Here is a 20,806-nt window from a genome sequence, read left to right as displayed (position 1 = left end):
CTCCACTCCAGTCTGGACAACAGAGCAAGAATCTGTCTAAAAATAATAATAATAATACATAGAGCAAGGTCTGGAGGGGTCCCAGGGAGTTGGGGTGTGCCACCCTTCTGGTGTGTTGGATGTGTTCACCAACCTGGAAACTCTCTGAACCTCGTACTTTAGGGATTTTTATGGAAGCTTCATCACATAAGCATTATCAATTATTAACTCAATCTCGAGCTCCTCTCCCCACTCCAGAGGATGAGGTGGGACTGAAAGCCCCAAGCTCATAATGATGGCTTTGTCTTTCTAGTGACCAGTCCCCATCCAGGAGCCCACCAAGTGTTGCCTCATTAGAACAGAAAACACTTCTGTCACCGAGGAAATTAGAAGGGTTTTAGCAGCTCTGGCCAGGAGCCAGGGAGGAACACCAGTGCATATTTCTTAGTGGATAGACCTAGGATTTTAAATTTTGTAATTCTTAGGTGCCTCCCTAAGTAGAAAAGGAGAGTTATGCCGTGGGATTCTTTTAAGAAGAGACCAGAGATTCCCTACTTCCTGCCCCATTCATGAACTGCACCTTGAGGCTTGTTTTGAAGATGTGCGTATCATAAGAAGACGGGCATTACAGTTGTATGGCAGCAGGAGTGGGAAGGTGGGCTCAAGCTCAAGTCCCTCCCTGCCAAGGCCCACATCCCTGAGTGGCTGTCACCCATTCTAACGTCCTGATTAGAACTCTCTTGCAGAAGTGTGCCTCCACTCTGGCTCCTTCAGCTCTGTGTGCCAAGTGCCTACAAGGATAAAAATCAAACCAGCCTTCCCTAGGATCAAAGGAGAACCTGAGCAGGAGTGCTGTAGCTGGCAAGGCCCCAGAAAGGGCTGCATGGGCTGAGCTGGAGTCAGGAATCATTTCAGTGCAGTGGGCCCTTTGTCTCCAAGAGTACTAATCCCCCTAATGGGGAAGCAGCGAGAGGGTGTGGTTAAATCTTAATGAAGAGTGGGACTGAAGGTAACACACTGATCAAAGACAATTCAGCCAGAGTCAGATTCTTTATCCTAGACCAGTGATTCTCAAGCTTGGGCATGGACTGTGGCTCATGCTTGTAATCCCAACACTTAGGGAGGTGGAAGTGGGAGGAACAATTGAGGCCAGGAGTTTGAGATTAGATGGAGCAGCACAGTGAAACCTCATCTGTACAAAAAAAATTTAAAATTAGCCAGGAGTGCTGGTGCACACCTGTAGTCCTAGCTACTCAAGGCTGAGAAGGGAGGATTACTTGAGCCTGGGTCAAGGCTGCACTAAGCTATGATTGTGCCACTGCACTCTATCCTGGGTGACAAAGCAAGACCCTGTAAAAAAAAAAAAAAAAAAAAAAAAAAAAAAATCAAGCCTGGGCATGCATCGGAATCACCTGGAGGCATGAAAACAGATTGCTGGGCCTACCTCCAGAGTATGATTCCATAGATCTGGGATGCGGCCTGAGAATTTGCATGTCTAACAAATTCCCGCTGAGGCTGCTGGTCTAGGGACCATACTTGGAGACCACTGTCCAGATACTGCTGCTATTCAAAGTGTGGTCCCCAGACTGGCAACATGGGGGTCACCTGGGAGCGTATTAGAAATGCAAAATACTGAACTCTGCCCCAGACCTTCTGAATCAGAGCCTGCAGTGCAACAAGATCCCCAGGTGATTCCTATACACATTAAAGGCTGAGAAGGCAGTGCTTCCCACACTCGTCAGTCAAGGGAATCTCCTGCAGGGTTTAAAATTTAGATTCCTGGGCTCCCTATCTGGAGACTTGGATTTAGAAAGTTTGGGAGATCCCAGAAATTGCTACAATTAAGTCCCGCTGAGTGATTATTATGGTCAGGCCAGCATGGGAACTCCGGCTCATTTTCCTCAGTCCTGTGTTCCTTGGACAAGACTAAGCCACAAAGCCAGAGAAAAACCTTTTGCTCCACGATCATGACAAGGCAGCAGCTGCTCCCCTAGAAACAGGAACTTGGGGAAGGTGGCTCCTCGACGGTCTGTGATGCCGTCAGAGGAAACGGGTGGTTGTGAGAACCACAGAGTCTGCAGTCGGAGCTAGAGCTCCAAGGACCCCACGCCTGTGTCTCTGTGACAGAGCTCAAAGGGCCCTGGGCCTTCCCTCCCTGGCTCGGCTGTGCTTGGGAGGGTTCCCCAGTCCAGAATCCCTAAGGAGCATGGGGCAGCTGATCCATCCCTGGTGTACAAACTGCTGACTGCAGACAGATGCTGAGCTACCCAAACCAACACCTAGCCTCTCCCTGAAGATCCTCCCAGGCTGAGAGAGTTCTGGGTGTCCTAGGACCAAGGACACTGGCAGACTTCCAGAAGGGCCCCCAAAGCCCTAACCTGTCCAGCCAGAGCATGCGTCTCAGCAGAGCTGTCTTCCCAAGCCTTTGATGACAAACCAGTAAGTATGCTTGCTTTTGTTCTTGGATGGCCTGGAGACAGGTGAGGAAGAATGGTCTCCCCTGCCCCGACTGGGACTGGGCTTTATTTGCTGTTGGGAAAAAAACAAGCTCAAGGAGAAGGGGGAGTGGTTCTACTGAGGCTGTAAAGAGGGGTGGTTTCTGGGGGTCCCAGAAGAACCAAGACTCACCTGCTCCACCTTTGACCTCCTCTTGGAGCTTACGCTCTTCCGTGCAGCTTGTCTTCACGCCCGTCCTAGTCCCATCTCAGGTGCGCACTTGCTGTGTGACTTTGGGCCCCTCTCTGCGCTGCAGTCAGACTCCAAAGTCAGGAACGTGAGGGCTACCATCTCTCAAGACATTTCAGCTGTAGAGCCTACAGTGCACTCTCACTCTCAAAGGGGTGATATTTCTCAATTGGAAGAGAGGGAGAGGTCTCCCTTTAACTCAATCCAAATTCATTTTTTTTTTTGAGTTGGGGTCTCATTCTGTTACCCAGGCTGGAGTGCAGCGGCGTAATTATGACTAACTATAGACTTGAACCACTGGGCTCAAGTGATCCTCCTGCCTTAGCCTCCCAAGTAGCTGAGACTACAGGCATGTACCACCATGCCCAGCTAATTCGTTATATTTTTGTAGAGATGGCAGGCGGTGGTGGGGGTGGGGGTGGGGGTTCTCACTATGTTGCCCAGGCTGGTCTCGAACTCCTGGCCTCAAGCAATCCTCCTGTCTCAGCCTCCTAAATTGCTGGGATTACAGGCATGAGCCACTGTGCCTGGCCAAATTCATCACTCTTACCCCCACTGCTGAAAAATGATCTTCAGAAGCACAAAATACACATGATGGCAGGCCCAGTCCTGCACGAATGGGCTACATGAACAGAATCACATGGTTGTCCTCTCAGGGACTTGGTCACTGTATCTGAAATGGGACCCAAGTGAGATACTGAAAAAAAAAAAAAAAAAAAAAACACAATATTCTGGGCAGCGTGCTCATCTCGGCTGCCGTTGACTAACTTTTTCCTTTCACCCGATGCCTCATGTCCTCCGGAAAGTGCCTGGCACATAGTAAGTTTTTCAAAAATTTGTAGAGTTAATGATTTGATGCTGTCTTACAAAATGTGCGGCTAATACTCTGCCTCCTCCTAGGCTGGCCCATTGTATGGTCTTTATTTTGCCCCCAGGGGCTTATTGGCCTTGACCTGACCAAGTCCTTGACCAGGTGAAGGGAGCTGCAGAGACTTTGGGGAGGCTTTCAGCCTGAGTACAGCTCCCCTGTCTCCATCTGCCTTTGGGCCCAGCCCCCAGCTCCACCTGCGGCAGGAAGGAGTCTCTCAGTTTATTGCAGGTGGTAACTGTGGTCTTCCTGAAGGAGGGGAAAGGAAACTAAGCCTTACTGAGCACCCACTCTGTGCCAGACTCCTGCAACTCTCCCCACAGCCCCGTGGCGCCTGTAGTGCACCTTGTTCACAGATGAGACGGGGGAAGCTTGCATGCTTTGCCTGAGGCCACACAGCTCCAGCCAGGTTCAAGTGGGCACTCATGCTACCCAAGCCAGAGGTTCTCTCCCTGGGGTTTCCTGGTCTTGGGTTTGTAAAAATCCTCCCCAGGAGGATCGCTTAAGCCCAGGAGTTCAAGACCAGCCTGGGCAACACAGCAAGACCCCAATAATGTAAAACAAAAACAAAAAACCTCCTCAAGAACAGCAGCACCATTTCAGTGTACCCAGGCTGCAGGATCCTAAAAGGCTGAGCAGGAAGTGGCTGTCAGGACCCATTTCCATGCCATATGCCCATTCTGTGTTCAAGAGCTCCCTTCCAGATGAATGCCGAACTCCCCATACGGAGGGAGCAGCAAGCAGGTATTAGGTTTTTTGGGGCGGGAGGGGGGTACAGAGTCTCGCTCTGTCGCCCAGGCTGCAGTGCAGTGGCACAATCTCGGCTCACTGCAGCCCCTGCCTCCCAGGTTCAAGTGATTCTTTTGCCTCGGTCTCCCGAGTAGCTGGGATTACAGGTACCCACCACCACACCCGGCTCATTTTTGTATTTTTAGTAAAGACAGGGTTTCACCATGTTGGCCAGGCTGGTCTCAAACTCCTGACCTCATGTGATCTGCCCACCTCGGCCTCCCAAAGTGCTGGGATTACAGGCATGAGCCACCGCGCCCGGCCCAGGTATTGTTATTCCCATGTCAACAACATGAGACTGAAGAACAGAGAGGGCTGTTCCATGCTCTAAGGTAGGATCTTTACTCCCCAGACAGGACTGGTCCAGGACGCCACAGAAATCACTCCATGATATTGATGGACGCCCGTCCTCATCCAGGCAGTGTGGGGTTCAAAGGCAAGGAATGAGCCCACTCTGTCACCACCCCATTCAGTGATCTCCTCCAGAGTAAGGTGCATGGGTTCCCCTCCAGGGACCACCAGTCCTTGGCAGGTGCCTGACACAGAGCAGAAGCTCCATGAATATCAGCTGAACTGGGCCAATTGTGTAACTGTGCCTTGTCCCTACTGAAAAGAATGAAACCATCTGAAAAGAAAGACAAAGCTCCGCCTCCCACTCCCCAAACACTTTAAAATAGTGTTTGGAAAAATCAGCACTACCCTGGAAATCCGGGGATTTAAACTATTCTAACGATAAGACACCTACCTGTCTGAAGAGCTAACAGTCTCATTTAGTTAATGTGTGCTGAGTGCTTTCTGTGATGCCTCACTAAATGCTGAGTAATAGGCAAACAAAAGAAGTCTTTGTCCTCATGCAGTTACAGGATAGTGGCAGATTAAACAAGTAAACTCTCAAATGAATGATGAAAACTTCCCAAGGGAGGCTGGGTCCCATGGCTCACACCTGTAATCCCAGGATTTTGGGAAGCTGAGGTGGGAGGATTGGTGGAGCCCAGGAGTTCAAGAACAGCCTGGGCAACATGGCATGAGCCCGTAACTTAAGAAAAAAGGACCGGGTGCGGTGGCTCATGCCTGTAATCCCAGCACTTTGGCAGACCGAGGAGGGCGGATCGCCTGAGGTCGGGAGTTCAAGACCAGCCTGACCAATATGGGGAGACCCCATCTCTACTAAAAATACAAAATCGGCCAGGCGTGGTGGTGCATGCCTGTAATCCCAGCTACTCGGGAGGCTGAGGCAGGAGAATCGCTTGAACCCAGGAGGCGGAAGTTGCAGTGAACTGAGATCGTGCTATTGCACTCCAGCCTGGGCAACAAGAGTGAAACTCTCTGTATTAAAAAAACAAAACAAAACAAAATTTGCAAAGAGGCTGGATGTGGTGGCTAATGTCTGTAATCCCAGCTACTTGGGAGGCTGAGGTGGGAGGATCCCCTGAACCCAGGAGTTCAAGGGTGCAATGAGCTAGGACTACACCACTACACTCTAGCCTGGGTGACGGAGTGACACCTCCTGGGGAGGCTCCCAGGAGAGGCCGCTGATGAACTGACATTCAGGACGTGGTAAAGGAAACAGGGGGCTGGTCAGGGTTTTCATGTGCGTTATCTCTCGGACCTGTATGTTGAGTGTTGTTATCCCCATTTTTCAGATGAGGAAAAGGAGGCACAGAGAGGGGAAGTGGCTCAACAGTCAGTCCCCTAAAGCCTTGCAAGTCATCACTGCATCATACAACCCACGGTCCTTTTTTTTTTTTTTTTTTTTTTTTTTTTTTGAGAGGGAGTCTCCCTCTGTCACCCAGGCTGGAGTGCAGTGACTTGATCTTGGCTCATTGCAACCTCTGCCTCCCAGGTTCAAGCAATTCTCCTGTCTCAGCCTCCCACCTGAGTAGCTGGGACTACAGGTACACACCACCACGCCCAGCTAATCTTTGTATTTTTAGTGGAGATGAGGTTTCACCATATTGATCAGGCTGGTCTTGGTCTTGAACTCCTGACCTCAGGTCATCCACCTGCCTCAGCCTCCCAAAGTGCTGGGATTACAGGCATGAGCCACCACACCCAGCCCTCCTTGCAGACCTCTGATCCAAGCCACAGTTCCTGGTATGCCTGGAGGAAGCTCACTGTCCTGTCATTGTCCCCTGCCACCCAGTAGCCAAGTGTGATCCCGGGTCAGAGAAAGGGTTCTAAGTGAGCCATAGGAATTCAAAGGAGTGATCAACAAAGGCTAGGGGCTGGGAGGCTTCCTGGGGAAGGAAGAATGGGATCCAAACAGGACTGAAGGAGAGGAGAGGGCATGACTGCCCATCGGAGGGACCCAAGCAGAGGCCCAGAAAGAAAAAGTTGAGCCTGTTGTGGCATAAAAAAGATGAGATGTGGAGAAAACAGCGTCCAATGTGCAGGAAGCCTTCAGAGGCTGGCAGAGAGGCTGGAGCCTGGTCCCACAGGAGGGAGGTCATTCACATGCTCTGTGAGGAGGTAGCCAGGGCCGATCTGGGGAGGGAGAGGTATCTGAGATTGGGCCAGAAGCCTCGGCTCTGTCCCCATCACTGTGTCTCTTTCAGATTTCCCTCGATGATGTGCTTCTGAGTGCTCTGCTGAGGAACAATGGGAAGTCTGCCCAGCAGAAGAAAATCTCTGCCAAGCCCAAGCTTGAGTTCCTCTGTCCAAGGCCAGGGACCTGTGACCATGGAAGCAGGTAGGCCTCAGGGCCTGTGACAGCCAGGCTCTTCCCACACAGTACTAGACTTCACTGCCTCTGTGGGCCTTCCTGGCCAGCAGCTCCAACACAGTGTAAGCACCGCTGAGGGCCTGCTGCATACCAGGCCCTGCCTACTGAGCCATACAGCAGGGTCCCTGCTCCTATACAGCCTACCTTAGCAGTAAGAACAGTAAACAATGGCATAAATGAGAAAACAGGAGAAAGCAACAGGCACTAACCAGAATATTAAACCAGGAGGGCATGACAGTCCCCCAGGCATTTCCCAAGGCTTCCCTCCTTCTCAACCAGTTGTTTATCCAAACACCGAGCTGGCCAGCCCCACCTCCCCAGCCCCCAGAGCTGCACTGTCCATTGCAGTCGCCACCAGCCACACGTAACTGCTTAAATTTAACATTTTAGGCCAGGGTGGGGCACGGTGGCTCACGCCTGTAATCCCAGCACTTTGGGAGGCCAAGGCGGGCAGATAACCTGAGGTCAGGAGTTCAAGACCAGCCTGGCCAACATGGTGAAACCCCGTCTCTACTAAAAATACAAAAATTAGCCGGTCATGGTGGTGGGTGCCTGTAATCCCAGCTACTTAGGAGGCTGAGGCAAGAGAATCACTTGAACCCGGGAGGCAGAGGTTGCAGTGAGCCGAGATCATGCCACTATGCCACTGCACTCCAGCCTGGGCAACAGAGTGAAAATTCGTCTAACAAAAAAAAAAAAAAAAAAAGGTCTTTCATCACCCCAGCCACATTTTAAGTGCTCAATAGCACACGTAGTAAGTGACCACCTTGTTAGACAGCACACAATTATAGAACATTTCCATTGTTGCAGAAAGTTCTGCTATACTGTCCTAGTGGACCCGAGAGGTACTATGAAATTACCTGAAGTGAAATTAGGGCTGTCTTTTTATTTTTGTGGTATATATATATTTTTTAATACATGGTTTTGCTCTGTCTCCCAGGCTGGAGTGCAGTGAAGCTTACTGCAGCTTCAACCTCCCAGGCTCAAGCAATCCTCCTACCTCAGCCTCCCGAGTAGTTGGGACTACAGGCACATGCCACCATGCCTGGCTAAATTTTAAAATTTTTGTAGAGATGGAGTCTCCCTATGTTGCCCAGGCTGGTCTTGAACTCTTGGGGTCAAATGATCCTCCCGCCTTGGCCTCCCAAAGTGCTGAGATTTCAGGCATGAGCCACCATGCCTGGCCCTTGCCAGGGCTGTCTTAATGGTGGAAAAATAGCATATACAATGCATATGCTGAGTCTATAACCATGATTTTCTAATATAGTCTTGACTAAAACTCCCAGTTTCTTGGACAGTTGAACAATAAAAATATCCTAGCAATTCTAGTTTTTTTGTTCTTTTTTTTTTTGAGACGGAGTCTCACTCTGTCTCCAAGGCTGGAGTGCAGTGGGACAGTCTTGGCTGACTGCAAGCTCCGCCTGCTGCGTTCACGCCATTCTCCTGCCTCAGCCTCCCGAGTAGCTGGGACTACAGGTGCCCGCCACCACGCCTGGCTAATTTTTTTTTTTTTTGTATTTTTAGTAGAGACAGGGTTTCACTGTGTTAGCCAGGATGGTCTCAATCTCCTGACCTCGTGATCCACCCACCTCGGCCTCCCAAAGTGCTGGGATTACAGGCGTGAGCCACTGCACCCGGCCGCAATTCTAGTATTTTGATGTTGGAACTATGGCCCCAGGTCTGTTTCTTCTTCTCCCAAAACAGACCACAAATCCTTTCTCAAGTCACACCTTGATAGGGATTTCGATAATATATTAGGGTTCTCCAGAGAAACACAACCAATAGTTGTGTGTGTGTGTGTGTGTGTGTGTGTGTAGAGATTTTTTTTGAGGAGCTGGCTCACACAGTTGTGGAGGCTGTAAGTCTGAAATCTGCAGGGCAGACTGGAGACCCAGGGAAAAGCTGATGCTGCAGTCCTGAGTTGACCACAGTCTGGAGGCAGAATTCCCTCTTCCTCAAAGGACGTCAGTCTTGTTCTTTTAAGACCTTCAACTGATTGCACGAGGCCCACCCACATTATGGACGGTTATCTGCATTACTCGTTCTACTGATTTAAATTCAATCTCAGCTGACCGCAGTGGCTCACGCCTGTAATCCTAGCACTTTGGGAGGCCGAGGCGGGCAGATCACCTGAGGGTGGGAGTTTGAGACCAGCCTGACCAACATGGTGAAACCCCATCTCTACTAAAGATACAAAATTAGCCGAGCATGGTGGCGCACGCCTGTAATCTCAGCTACTTGGGAGGCTGAGGCAGGAGAATCACTTGAACCTGGGAGGTAGAGGTTGCAGTGAGCCGAGATCACACCACTGCACTCCAGCCTGGGCAACAAGAGCAAAACTCCGTCTCAAAAAAATAAATAAATTCAATCTCAATCACAGCAACATCTAGACTGGTATTTGACCAAATATCTGGGTTGTGTGGCCTAGCCACAATGACACATAAAATTAACCAGCACAGATAACAAGATCACACTACTTCATGGTGTATTTACTTGTTCCCCTGGACAGAGCCTAGGGACATGTGCCTTATATGGCTGTTGTGCAAGTTTTGCTACTGGGACTTTGGTTAAATCACCTAAATTGGCTAGGGGCGGTGGCTCATGCCTGTAACCCCAGCACTTTGGAAGGCTGAGGCAGGTGGATCACCTGAGGTCAGGAGTTTGAGATCAGCCTGACCAATATGGTAAAACCCTGTCTCTACTAAAAATACAAAAACTAGCCGGGCGTGGTGGCATGCACCTGTAGTCCCAGCTACTCTGGAGGCTGAGACAGGAGAACTGCTTGAACCTGGGAGGTGGAGGTTGCAGTGAGCCAAGATCGAGCCACTGCACTCCAGCCTGGGGGACAGAGCAAGACTCTGTCTCAAACAAAACAAAACAAAACAAAACAAAAACAATAAATTGCCTAAATTCCCCATCTCAAGTTTTTCATTTGTAACGTAGAAGTCTCCTCAACCATGTGATAATTAAAGATGTGAAAATCTTAGCACACTGTTTTACAGAGCTGACTAAAAAAAAAGCAAACTTCAGGCCAGGCGCATGCCTGTAATCCCAGCGCTTTAAGAGGCTGAGGAGGGCGGATCATGAGGTCAGGAGTTCAAGACCAACCTGACCAACATAGTGAAACCCCGTCTCTACTAAAAATACAAAAAATTAGCTGGGCGTGGTGGTGGGTGCCTGTAATCCCACCTACTCGGGAGGCTGAGGCAGGAGAATCACTTGAACCCAGGAGGAGGTGGAGGTTGCAGTGAGCCAAGATCATGCCATTGCAGTCCAGCCCGGGCGACAGTGTGAGACTCTGTCTCAAAAAAAAAAAAAAAAAAAAAAAGAGGCCGAGGCAGGCAGACCTGAGGTCAAGAGTTCGAGATCAACCTGGACAACATGGAGAAACCCTGTCTCTCCTAAAAGTACAAAAAAATTAGCCAGGCATAGTGGTATGTGCCTGTAATCCCAGCTACTCAGGAGGCTGAGGGAGGAGAATCGCTTGAACCCAGGAGGTCAAGATTGCAGTGAGCCAAGATCATGCCACTGCACTCCAGCCTGGGCAACAGAGCAGGACTGTCTCAAAAAAAAAAAAAAAAAAAAAAGCAAACTTCACAGAATATGAGCCTATGTTGAAGAAATAACATCAATGTGCCTGCAAATATGTAGCAAAGTTTACAACTGGACATTTCAAACAAGAGTACTGGGCTCAAAAGGATTGAAACCTTAGAGGTAGGCTGGGTGCAGTGGCTCACGCCTGTAATCCCAGCACTCTGGGAGGCCGAGGCGGGCAGATCACGAGGTCAGGAGTTCGAGACCAGCCTGACCAACGTGGTGAAATCTCATCTCTACTACAAAAAGTAGCCAGGCATGGTGGTGGGTGCCTGTAATCCCAGCTACTCAGGAGGCTGAGGCAGGAGAATCACTTGAATCTGAAAGGCAGAGGTTGCAGTGAGCCAAGATCGCACCACTGCACTCCAGCCTGGGCGACAGAGCGAGACTCCGTCTCCAAAAAAAAAAAAAAAAAAAAAAAAAATACACACACGCGCACCTTAGAGGTAGATCTTGACTAATAGAACAAGGGTCACCTCACTTCTATTTCAATTACAGAAAATGCTGACAAGCAAACACTGATGAGCCAAGACAATTCAGAGCAGATTTACTTACCCCAAAGAAGAATTATTGAGAATTGTGAGTGAATTCTGTCAAACAAGGTATTAATCTGTCACCACTACAGTAAAACAGATTAAAGCACATTTTCTTTTTTTGGGGGGGGTGGGGGACGGAATCTTGCTGTGTTGCCCATGCTGGAGTGCAATGGCGCCATCTTGGCTCACTGCAAGCTCCACCTCCTGGGTTCAAGCGATTCTCCTGTCTCAGCCTCCTAAGTAGCTGGGATTACAGGGACGTGCCACCACCAAGCCCAGCTAATTTTTGTATTTTTAGTAGAGACGGGGTTTCACCATGTTGGCCAGGCTGGTCTGGAACTCCCGACCTCAGGCGATCTGCCTGCCTTGGCCTTCCAAAGTGTTGGGATTACAGGCGTGAGCCACTGCGGCCACTCAGTCTTGCAACCATATATATATATATATATATATATATATATTTTTTTTTTTTTCTTTTTGAGATGGAGTTTAGCTCTTGTTGCCCAGGCTGGAGTGCAATGATGTGATCTCCGCTCACCGCAACCTCCGCCTCCCAGGTTCAAGTGATTCTCCTGCTTCAGCCTCCTGAGTAGCTGGGACTACAGGCGTGCACCACCACATAGGGCTAATTTTGTATTTTTTTTTTTTTTTTTTTTTGAGACGGAGTCTTGCTCTGTCGCCCAGGCTGGACTGCGGACTGCAGTGGCGCAATCTCGGCTCACTGCAAGCTCCGCTTCCCGGGTTCACGCCATTCTCCTGCCTCAGCCTCCCGAGTAGCTGGGACTACAGGCGCCCGCCACCGCGCCCGGCTAATTTTTTTTTTGTATTTTTAGTAGAGACGGGGTTTCACCTTGTTAGCCAGGATGGTCTCGATCTCCTGACCTCATGATCCACCCGCCTCGGCCTCCCAAAGTGCTGGGATTACAGGCGTGAGCCACCGCGCCCGGCCTCTTGCAACCACTTTAAATCTACCACATGCCAGGCCTTGTGACAGGACCTGGGGACACAGGAGTGGACAAGACTGGCACAGTCCATGACTTCAGGGACAGTTGAGCCCCAGGGACAGGTGCTAAACCCGTAACCAACTAGAACTTGGATTTTGGTGGCAGTATGTTTTAAGGGATTCTGACCAAGAGTGTGTGCAGAGGTGGTTGGTCAGGGAAGGCTTCCTGAAAGAAGGGACATTTCAGTTGGGAAATGAAGGATGAAGGTAAGCCAGCCAGGCAGAGTGAGGCCATTCAGGGGGACAGTGTAGTGTATGCAGCTGGGTGGCTGCCCCCGGGAGTGCAAGGCCAGGGCTTCCAGGAGGGGAAGGGGCCCTCCCAGGCCACATTTTCCCATTCTCATCAGAGAGCACCCATCACAAGGTGTGCATCATTTGTCCAAGCATCAGACATTTCTCTGCACTGTGGAATGGCCAGGCCTTATGCCTCAGAGACCTCAGAGGACAGACCCCTGGGGAGCTCTCCAGGCTGGGTTCACTGCAGGGTCTCCACACGTGTCTGGGAGGATGTGGGGAACTAGTCCATTTCCAGAATCAGCCTCGGTCTTCCCATGCCCACCCGGAGCACAGGCCCTTCAGCCCACACGGTGCCGCCACCCAACACCCCCATCCTTGTCTGCTCGTCTGCTTCCCCTGCCCCACTTCCTGGGGTCCCAGCTCCATCTGAAGGGCACACCAGAGTCCTCTAAGACCTTGCTTCCTACAGGGGCATCTAGGATGCAGAGGGACCCTTCTTGCTGACCCTGGCTGCTTCTCCTACTTAATGTGTTTATGTGCTAAGGAATCCTTACAGAAAAAGGACAAGGGGGAAGAAGGGAGGGATGCTAGGGTGCAGTGAGTGGCCTTCAGCAGCTGCTGAAACCTGGATTTTCAGGCTACAAGGCTCGGCGGTCATAGGGAGTCTGGTTGGCCTGAGCAGGCTGCCCTCTGGGGTGGCTGAGGGCGTGGGTGCTGTGCTGAGGGTGCCCTTGCCGCCTGATGCCCAGCCTTGAAATTGGGCCTTATGGTCACCACATTCTGAGCCTCATGGCCACCGTGTCCTGGGCAACATAGCAAGACCTCATCTCTACTAAAAAATTGTTTTAAATTAGCCGGGTGTAGTGGTGCACACCTGTAGTCCCAGCCACTCAGGAGGCTGAGGCTGGAGGATTTGAGCCCGGGAGGTCAAGGCTGCATTGAGCCTAATTTTTAGAGATAGGATCTTGCCCTGTCGCTCAGCCTACGTGCAGTGGTGATGGAGCAAGACCCTATCACTATTTTTTTTTTCTTTCTTTCTCTCTCTCTCTCTCTCTCTCTGGGCACTGTCAGGGCTCTGCAAAGTTCTGCTGGAAAAGCTTGATTCCAGGGTGGCCCTCTTAGGAAGTGGATGGGACTCCCTCAGGGTGCTTGTGGAGGGCTGATGCTGGGAGCCAGACCCAGGCCAGACTCCACTAGACCTCATGCGTGGAGCAGGGCTAGCTAAGTAGGTGACTATTTCTGTCCCTCCATCTAGAGAGAAGCAAGGCCACAGCCGTGGCCCTGGGCAGTTTCCCGGCAGGTGGCCCGGCCGAGCTGTCGCTGAGACTCGGGGAGCCATTGACCATCGTCTCTGAGTAAGTCCATGGGCACTGGATACCTGAATATGCACTAATAGAGCCAGGCATGGTGGTGTGTGCCTGTAGCGCTAGCTGTCTGGGAGGCTTAGGTGGGAGAATCGCTGGAGCTCGGGAGCTCAAGGCTGCAATGAGCTATGATCAAGCCAGTGCACTCCAGCTTGGGTGACAGCAAGACCCTGTCATCTCTAAAATAAATGAATGGGCCAGGCGTGGTAGCTCACACCTGTAATCCCAGCACTTTGGGAGGCTGAGGTGGGCAGATCACCTGAGGTCAGGAATTCGAGACCAGCCTGGCCAACACGGTGAAACCGTCTCTACTAAAAATACAAAAATTAGCCGGGCTTGGTGGCAGACGCCTGTAATCCCAGCTACTTGGGAGGCTGAGGCAGGAGAATCACTTGAACCTGGGAGGAGGAGGTTGCAGTGAGCTGAGATCACGCCATTGCACTCCAGCCTGGGCGACGAGCAAAACTCTGTCTCAAAAAAATAAAAGAAGGAAGGAATTAGAGATACTGTCCCGGGAGAAGGGGCCCTTCCCCCAGGTAGAAAAGCACAAGCCTTTGCTGAAGCGCTCACAGAAACCCTGTGGTGGAATTTCAGGCGGCTGGACACCCCCACAGGGAGAAGCAGTGGGTGGGCAGCGCCCTGTAGCAGGGAGCCTGGAATTGTGCATCTACCACCAGCCCCAGCCCTGACTCAGGAGGTACCTGGACAGGCTAGTGCAGGGAAGCCTGGGAAACAGGCAGGACAGGTGGCCACAGGATCCAGCCTGAGAGGGTCCTTGCAAGCCCTGAATGTGTGGTTGTCGGGGCCTTGGCTCATCTGAAAGAGGTGCCCCCACTCCTTTCTCTCTCCAGGGATGGAGACTGGTGGACGGTGCTGTCTGAAGTCTCAGGCAGAGAGTATAACATCCCCAGCGTCCACGTGGCCAAAGTCTCCCATGGGTGAGTTCCCACCCCAGGCCCGCCTTGCAGAGCTTCCTGCTTTCTCCTCCCACAAGAACTCCCCTTTGTGCACGGCTCTGCGCTGAGCAAAGCTGGGGATGGGGGAGAATCGAACCCAGGTCCTGCCCTCAAGAGGGGCAGACAGCTCATCCTAGCACAGGTTGGCCTGTGAGATGTGGGAGCCAGAGGAAGGGCTTGGGAAGGCCCACAGAGGAGGTGTGGAGCTCTGGGCTTTGGAGGTTGCCAGGATCTCGTGGTGGAAAATGCTGAAAAGTCCACGTAGGAGATGGCAGCATGTGGCGTGAGGGGCTGGCACAGTGGTGCGCACCTGTAGTCCCAGCTACTAGGGAGGCTGAGGTGGGAGGATCATCTGAGCCTGGAAGGTCAAGGCTGCAGTGAGCCGTGATTGCGCCACTGCACTCTAGTCTAGGCCACAGAGCAGGAGCCTGTCTCAGTAAAAAAAGAAAAAAACAGAGGGGCAGCTCTTGGAAAGCTGAGGCTTAGAAAGGTGAGTGGATAGAATCAGGGTGCTTTGGGGACTGAGCAGGGATAGCAGAGAGGCTGGGACCAACCCAGGTTACTTGGGGGAATGAGGTCTCCAGGCAGAGAAAGCTGAGGCTGTCCCCATGAGTTTGTCCTCCCAGGGCCCTGGAGCCAGGACTGGGAGGACAAAAATGGCATGGACCTCGGAGACCCTGAGCCCAGCTCTTCGTGGAGCAGATAGAACTCTGAGGCCCAGAGAGGGAGGGCCTTGTGAGGGTCACTCAGCGGTGGTGGTAAAATCTTGGCTTCCCTCTTCCTCCAGGCTGACCCTGTCCCTTGTCCCTCTCTTTCGCTCCGCCAGGTGGCTGTATGAGGGCCTGAGCAGGGAGAAAGCAGAGGAACTGCTGTTGTTACCTGGGAACCCTGGAGGGGCCTTCCTCATCCGGGAGAGCCAGACCAGGAGAGGTGAGTAAGCTCGGTGCCAGCCCAGGCCCTCCCTACGTGGAGGTCTCAGAAAGGAGCCCACAGATATATGGCTGCAGGTGCGGCCCAGAAAATAGGCTTTGCCTGACTTCTCAGTCAACCAAGATTTCCTGAGCCCCAGCTCCGTGTCCTGCCCATATGAACCATGTGGAGCCCAGGCTGGGGGAGATGGAGACAGGCCATGAAAGCAGAGGAGAGGCAGCTAACTTTGGAGCAATCAAGGGAGGCTTCATGGAGGAATAGACCATGAGTGGACCTGGAGGAGTGGACCTGGGATCCTGAGGGATGTTCCCACAGGATCCCAGGCAACAAGACACAGTGGTGCTGGGGTGGGCCAGTGGGCTGCACCTCGGGACAATAGGAGGTTAGAAGTGAGCAAGCTCCAGCACAGAGGCCTTGGATGCCGAGCTGAGAAGCTTTGGTTTTCTCCCAAGGCAGTGGGGTTGCTACTCAGCAGAGACACAGTGCTGGGCGTGTGTTTTGGGGGAAACGAGAGGATGCATTACAGGGACTCTCTGAGTGTGTTCTGTGGGCCACCTGCTTAGAAGTAGAGGAGATGGGGGGTCAGTTTAGGGGACCCCGAAAATCGTATCCTTCTCTGAGAGGTTCACAATCCGTGTTAACACAAGACTTCTTAAGGCGTCGCGTTTGCCTAACTGGGCATTTCCCAAGTGTTTCTGACACAGGAGTGTTTCATCATGCAGCACCAGTCAGAGTCACTCCATGTTCATTCATTCAGCAAATGCTTCTCCAGCACCTATGATGTGGGGAGGCTTCAGGGAAGGACAGGACCTACTGTATGTGTCAGGCCTTAGGCATCTCTGCTGAGTGAGGTGGCCATGGTCCCTGCTCTCAGGGAGCTCCTGGGTCACTGGAAGCCAGTGTTCCATGGCACAGAGTTTGGGAAACATACCTCTATTTGAGATCCACAGTGATGCCAGGGCTTGCCCCTCCAATGCCAAGAGCCAAGTGTGATATGACTTGAGGGTGGGGCAGAAGGCCAAATGTGAAGGGCTGGAGTTCCTAGCCTTGGTGTCTAGCAGTCTGGCTGTCATCTGCCATGTTGCTGCCATGAGAGCCTATCAGCAATAGAGCAAAAATCTGCATTTCTAAAAATAATACAGGCCGGGCACTGTGGCTCACACCTGTAATCCCAGCACTTTGGGAGGCTGAGGTGGGAGAATCACTTGTGCCCAGAAATTTGAGACCAGCCTAGCCAACATAATGAGACCACTTCTCTACAAAAAAATTTAAAATGTAGTGAGGCATGGTGGTGCATCCCTGTAGTCCGAGCTACTTCGGAGGCTGAAGTGGGAGGATCACTTAAGTCCAGGAGTTCCAGGGTGCAGTGAGCCATGATTGCACCACTGCACTCCAGCCTGGGCAACAGAGCCAGACTCCATTTCAAAAAATAAAAGTGAATGTGAATGGCCCACAGTAGGGATCTAGGCTCAGCCAACACATTGGCAACTAGGATTTTTAATAGAGTATAGTCACAGAATTTCTCTGCGTTGACTAGGAGGTGATTCCTCCTTCCCCAAGACACAACATGATTCTGATCTCTTGGCAAAACATTAAAATGGTGACAGGATCTCTTGGGTCAGTAGCCAGTCAGAGCTAGAAACCCACTGGAAGTCATCTCATGGATCCTCCTCGCTCCACTGTACAGACTGAAAAACTGGACCAAAGAGGAGTAGGAACGGGCCACATGCACATTCATGTGGGGCTTCTCCCACCCCAGGTGCAGGGTCTTTTGCAATCAAAACACAAAGTTGATTGTCTCTTTGATGACCCTGCCTCCCTCTGAGCTGCTGCCCCTGAGTCCTTTAAGGCAGAGGCAAAGAGGGATGTTGAAGGAGCAGCAGCCCCCACGTTTATGTTAAGCCCTTTAAGTGACTTAAAACAATGTATGGGGATTGTACTTCCATTGTCTTCATTTTACAGATGGAAAAACTGAGGCTTAGGGAAGAGAAATAATTTGCCTGGGGAAACACAGCTAGTAAGTGCAGAGCCAGGATTCAAACCCAGCCACACCTCCTCTCACTCCAGGCCCCCAAGAAAGGCCCACGTGGGGCAGTAATGTTGGCACTGCAAGCATAGCAACAGACCAGGGAAGGAGGTATCAGGAATGGACAGACCTCCTGGCGCCCGCCTTGATATGAACCAACTGTGATAGGCTGTCGGGACCCTTCGTTCTCTGCCTCAGTCTCCCTCCCAGGACCCTTTCCAGCTTCTTTGTCTCTCCTCTCCTGCCCTTGGGCGTTCTTGGGTTGACCTCTCTGAGGCCCCTCCTGCTATTTTCTAGGCAGCATCAGCACCCCCACCTCACATACATCCATAGGCTGGTAGAGGGGCTGGGGAGGCCAGCCCAGCACAGCAGCTGCAAACAGGAAACCACAGCAGCGTTGCGGAGTGGAGCAGGGCCCCACTGCAGACTGTCCCCTGGAGCTTCAGAAGCCACAGGAAGTGCTCAGTGCTCAGCTCCCCTCCCCTGGCCCATTCTCTGGCCTGGGTCAGCCCCAAGAATATAGTGGCTGGCCCTTATGGCCACTCTGCCCCTTACCTAAAAAGACACAGATGCAAAGAGAAAACTCTGTGAGTGAGAAGAGAAAGCCGTATGGAGACTTTTTTTTTTTTTTTGAGACAGAGTCTCACTGTGTCGCCCAGGCTGGCGTGAAGTGGCACATTTTGGCTCAGTGCAGCCTCTGCCTCCTGGGTTCAAGTGATTGTCATGCCTCAGCCTCCCTGGTAGCTGGGATTACAGGCGAGTGCTACCACACCGGGATAATTATTATACTTTTTTGAGACAGAGTCTCACTCTGTTGCCTATGCTGGAGTGCAGTGGTGCGATCTCGGTTCACTGCAACCTCCACGTCCTGGGTTCAAGCGAGTCTCCTGCTTCAACCTCCTGAGTAGCTGGGATGACAGGCACATGCCACCATGCCCAACTAATTTTTGTGTTTTTAGTAGAGACAGGGTTTCATCATGTTGGCCAGGCTGATCTCAAACTCCTGACCTCAGATGATCCACCCACCTCGGCCTCCCAAAGTGCTGGGATTACAGGAGTAAGGCACTGCACCGGACTATTTTTTTTTTTTTGTATTTTTAGTAGAAACGGGGTTTTGCCATGTTGGCCAGGCTGGTCTCAAACTCCTGACCCTCAGATAATCCGCCCACCTTGGCCTCCCAAAGTGCTAGGATACAGGCATGAGCCACCGCGCCCAGCGGGATCCATGAAGATCTTTAAAGACTCATAAGATCCACATAAGGCCTCACCTGAGGTCAGGAGTTTGAGACCAGCTTGGCCAACATGGCGAAACCCCATCTGTACTAAAAATACAAAAAAATTAGCCGGGCATGGTGGCAGGTGCCTGTAATCCCAGCTACTCAGGAGGCTAAGGCTAGAGAATTGCTTGAACCTGGAGGTGGAGGTTGCAGTGAGACGAGATCGCACCACTGCACTCCAGCCTGGGTGACAAAGCGAGACTATGTCTCAAAAAAAAAAAAAAAATCCTCATAATTACCGGGACTAAGGTCTCCAGGTCCCCATAGTCAATTCCAAAAGGAGATGGATCAGGATGCAGCTATTGTTATCAAAGAGGAAGATGAAAAATGTTAGTTGGGGGAGGAGAAAAGAAAGAAGAAATTTGCCAATTTTCCAGGAAAGGTAAAATTTTCCTGCGGGTCATGGTTGATTTGTGGGTCAAGAAATCAGTTTAGGGGCCAGGTGCAGTGTCTCACACCTGTAATCCCAGCACATTGTGAGGCCAAGGCAGGAGGATCACTTGAGTCCAGGAGTTCAAAACCAGTCTGGGCAACAAAGGGAGACCCCCATCTCTTAAAAAAAAAAAATTTTTTTTTAAGTTAGCTAGGTGTGGTGGCATGTGCGTGTTGTCTAAGCTACTTGGGAGGCTGAGGCAGGAGGATCACTTAAGCCCAAGAAGTCGATGCTGCAGTGAGCTATGATCACACCACTGGACTCCAGCCTGGGTGACAGACCAAGACCCTGTCTCAAATAAATAAATAAATTCAATAAATCAACACTGATGCCTGTACCCCACCTCCAGGGTTTCTGATCTCACTGGTCAGGGATGTGGCCTGCACACTGTAAAAGCTGCCCAGGTGATTCTGATGGGTAGCCAGGGTCGGAACCCACTAATTTAGTGCGTCTGGACCAGTGCGTGTTTGTAGTGAAATTGAGCAGAGAACATGACCATGGTTGGGGTAAACATTGCGTCATAAAACTTTTGTTTCAGATTTTGTATAAGGTGTGTCCTGCGTCACAGTGTAAACTTTTATACTGTGGTTTGACACCACAGTGACTCTAGGGGCCCAAGTGACGTCATAGAACAGTGGTTCTCAGACTTGAGTGTACAGGACTCATCAGGGGAACTTGTTGACACTGTAGACTTGTAGGCCCTACCGCAGACCTAACTGAATCAGACTTTTGGGGGCAGAGGTCAGAAATCTGCTTCTTGGACAGGCTCTCTGGATGGTTCTATTGTTCTCTTGAGTTTGAAAACAGAGTTCCAATCTAGGGAACCCAGAATGAAGTAATAAGAGACAATGTACTTTACATTATGCTCTTGTCGTATATAATGGGAATTAGCCATTGACCAAGTGAGTGAGTGATGCCAGGATCAGCTTTTCATTGGCCCAAAGGCACTGATTCCACACGAGCTTCAAGCCTGCATGTGGACCAAGGAGGAAGGCCTGGGGCCCTGAGCTACCAGGAACACTAATCAGAGTCCGGAGCAGGAAGACCCCATCTTCCCAAGTCCTTCTGGCATACCTGGCTATATGATAGGCCTCGGGACAGCCATGGCCAGGCTCTAGTCAGGCCCCAAATCTTGCTCCGTGAAGGGGGCCTAGAAGCTTTGTGGAGGTCACAGGATTGTGCAGAGGTCAGCACAGGGTTAGGGACAGGCCCCAGCAGCAGCCCCTCTGCGCTGTCCTGCTGTATATCTGTTCTGTGTCAGGCACTATAAGGGAGATTGATGAGCAAGACGTGGTTCCTGCCCCTGCAGGGCTCACCTCTGTCCACTGTCAGTTGGGAAACACTTACTGAGCATCTCCTCCGAGTCAGGCCTGCTAAGTCATGGCTTTTGTCCTCAGGGTGCAGACAGTG

The 20,806-nt window shown here is 51.3% G+C and overlaps 1 protein-coding gene across 2 annotated transcripts in view, besides 3 other annotated features; it reads left to right on the top strand.

Moving 5' to 3' along the window:
- The window catches only part of SLA2 (Src like adaptor 2), a 33,879-nt gene continuing 15,131 nt past the window's right edge, over positions 2,059 to 20,806 (top strand). For both annotated transcript variants that reach the window (NM_175077.3, NM_032214.4), the window contains exons 1-5: positions 2,059 to 2,418; positions 6,877 to 7,010; positions 13,666 to 13,765; positions 14,626 to 14,712; positions 15,557 to 15,660. In NM_175077.3, coding sequence (NP_778252.1) covers positions 6,920 to 7,010; positions 13,666 to 13,765; positions 14,626 to 14,712; positions 15,557 to 15,660 — 382 coding nt within the window. In that variant the 5' untranslated portion in view covers positions 2,059 to 2,418; positions 6,877 to 6,919. The remainder of the gene's footprint in view (positions 2,419 to 6,876; positions 7,011 to 13,665; positions 13,766 to 14,625; positions 14,713 to 15,556; positions 15,661 to 20,806) is intronic.
- Positions 4,756 to 5,426: an enhancer, noted in NCBI's record as "OCT4-NANOG hESC enhancer chr20:35271232-35271902 (GRCh37/hg19 assembly coordinates)". NCBI's record gives its function as "activates a minimal SCP1, AML or CMV promoter by ChIP-STARR-seq in naive and primed H9 embryonic stem cells {active_cell/tissue: H9 hESC(naive and primed)}" and the evidence as "EXISTENCE:reporter gene assay evidence [ECO:0000049][PMID:30033119]".
- Positions 14,728 to 15,229: an enhancer, noted in NCBI's record as "H3K4me1 hESC enhancer chr20:35261429-35261930 (GRCh37/hg19 assembly coordinates)". NCBI's record gives its function as "activates a minimal SCP1, AML or CMV promoter by ChIP-STARR-seq in naive H9 embryonic stem cells {active_cell/tissue: H9 hESC(naive)}" and the evidence as "EXISTENCE:reporter gene assay evidence [ECO:0000049][PMID:30033119]".
- Positions 17,909 to 18,018: an enhancer, noted in NCBI's record as "active region_17814". NCBI's record gives its function as "activates an Ori minimal core promoter by ATAC-STARR-seq in GM12878 lymphoblastoid cells {active_cell/tissue: GM12878}" and the evidence as "EXISTENCE:reporter gene assay evidence [ECO:0000049][PMID:35858748]".

Source organism: Homo sapiens, chromosome 20 (assembly GCF_000001405.40).
Source record: "Homo sapiens chromosome 20, GRCh38.p14 Primary Assembly".
In the NCBI taxonomy this organism is placed as follows: Eukaryota; Metazoa; Chordata; class Mammalia; order Primates; family Hominidae; genus Homo; species Homo sapiens.
Note: the sequence above shows the minus strand (reverse complement) of the source record. Positions and strands in the feature narration are given on the sequence as shown.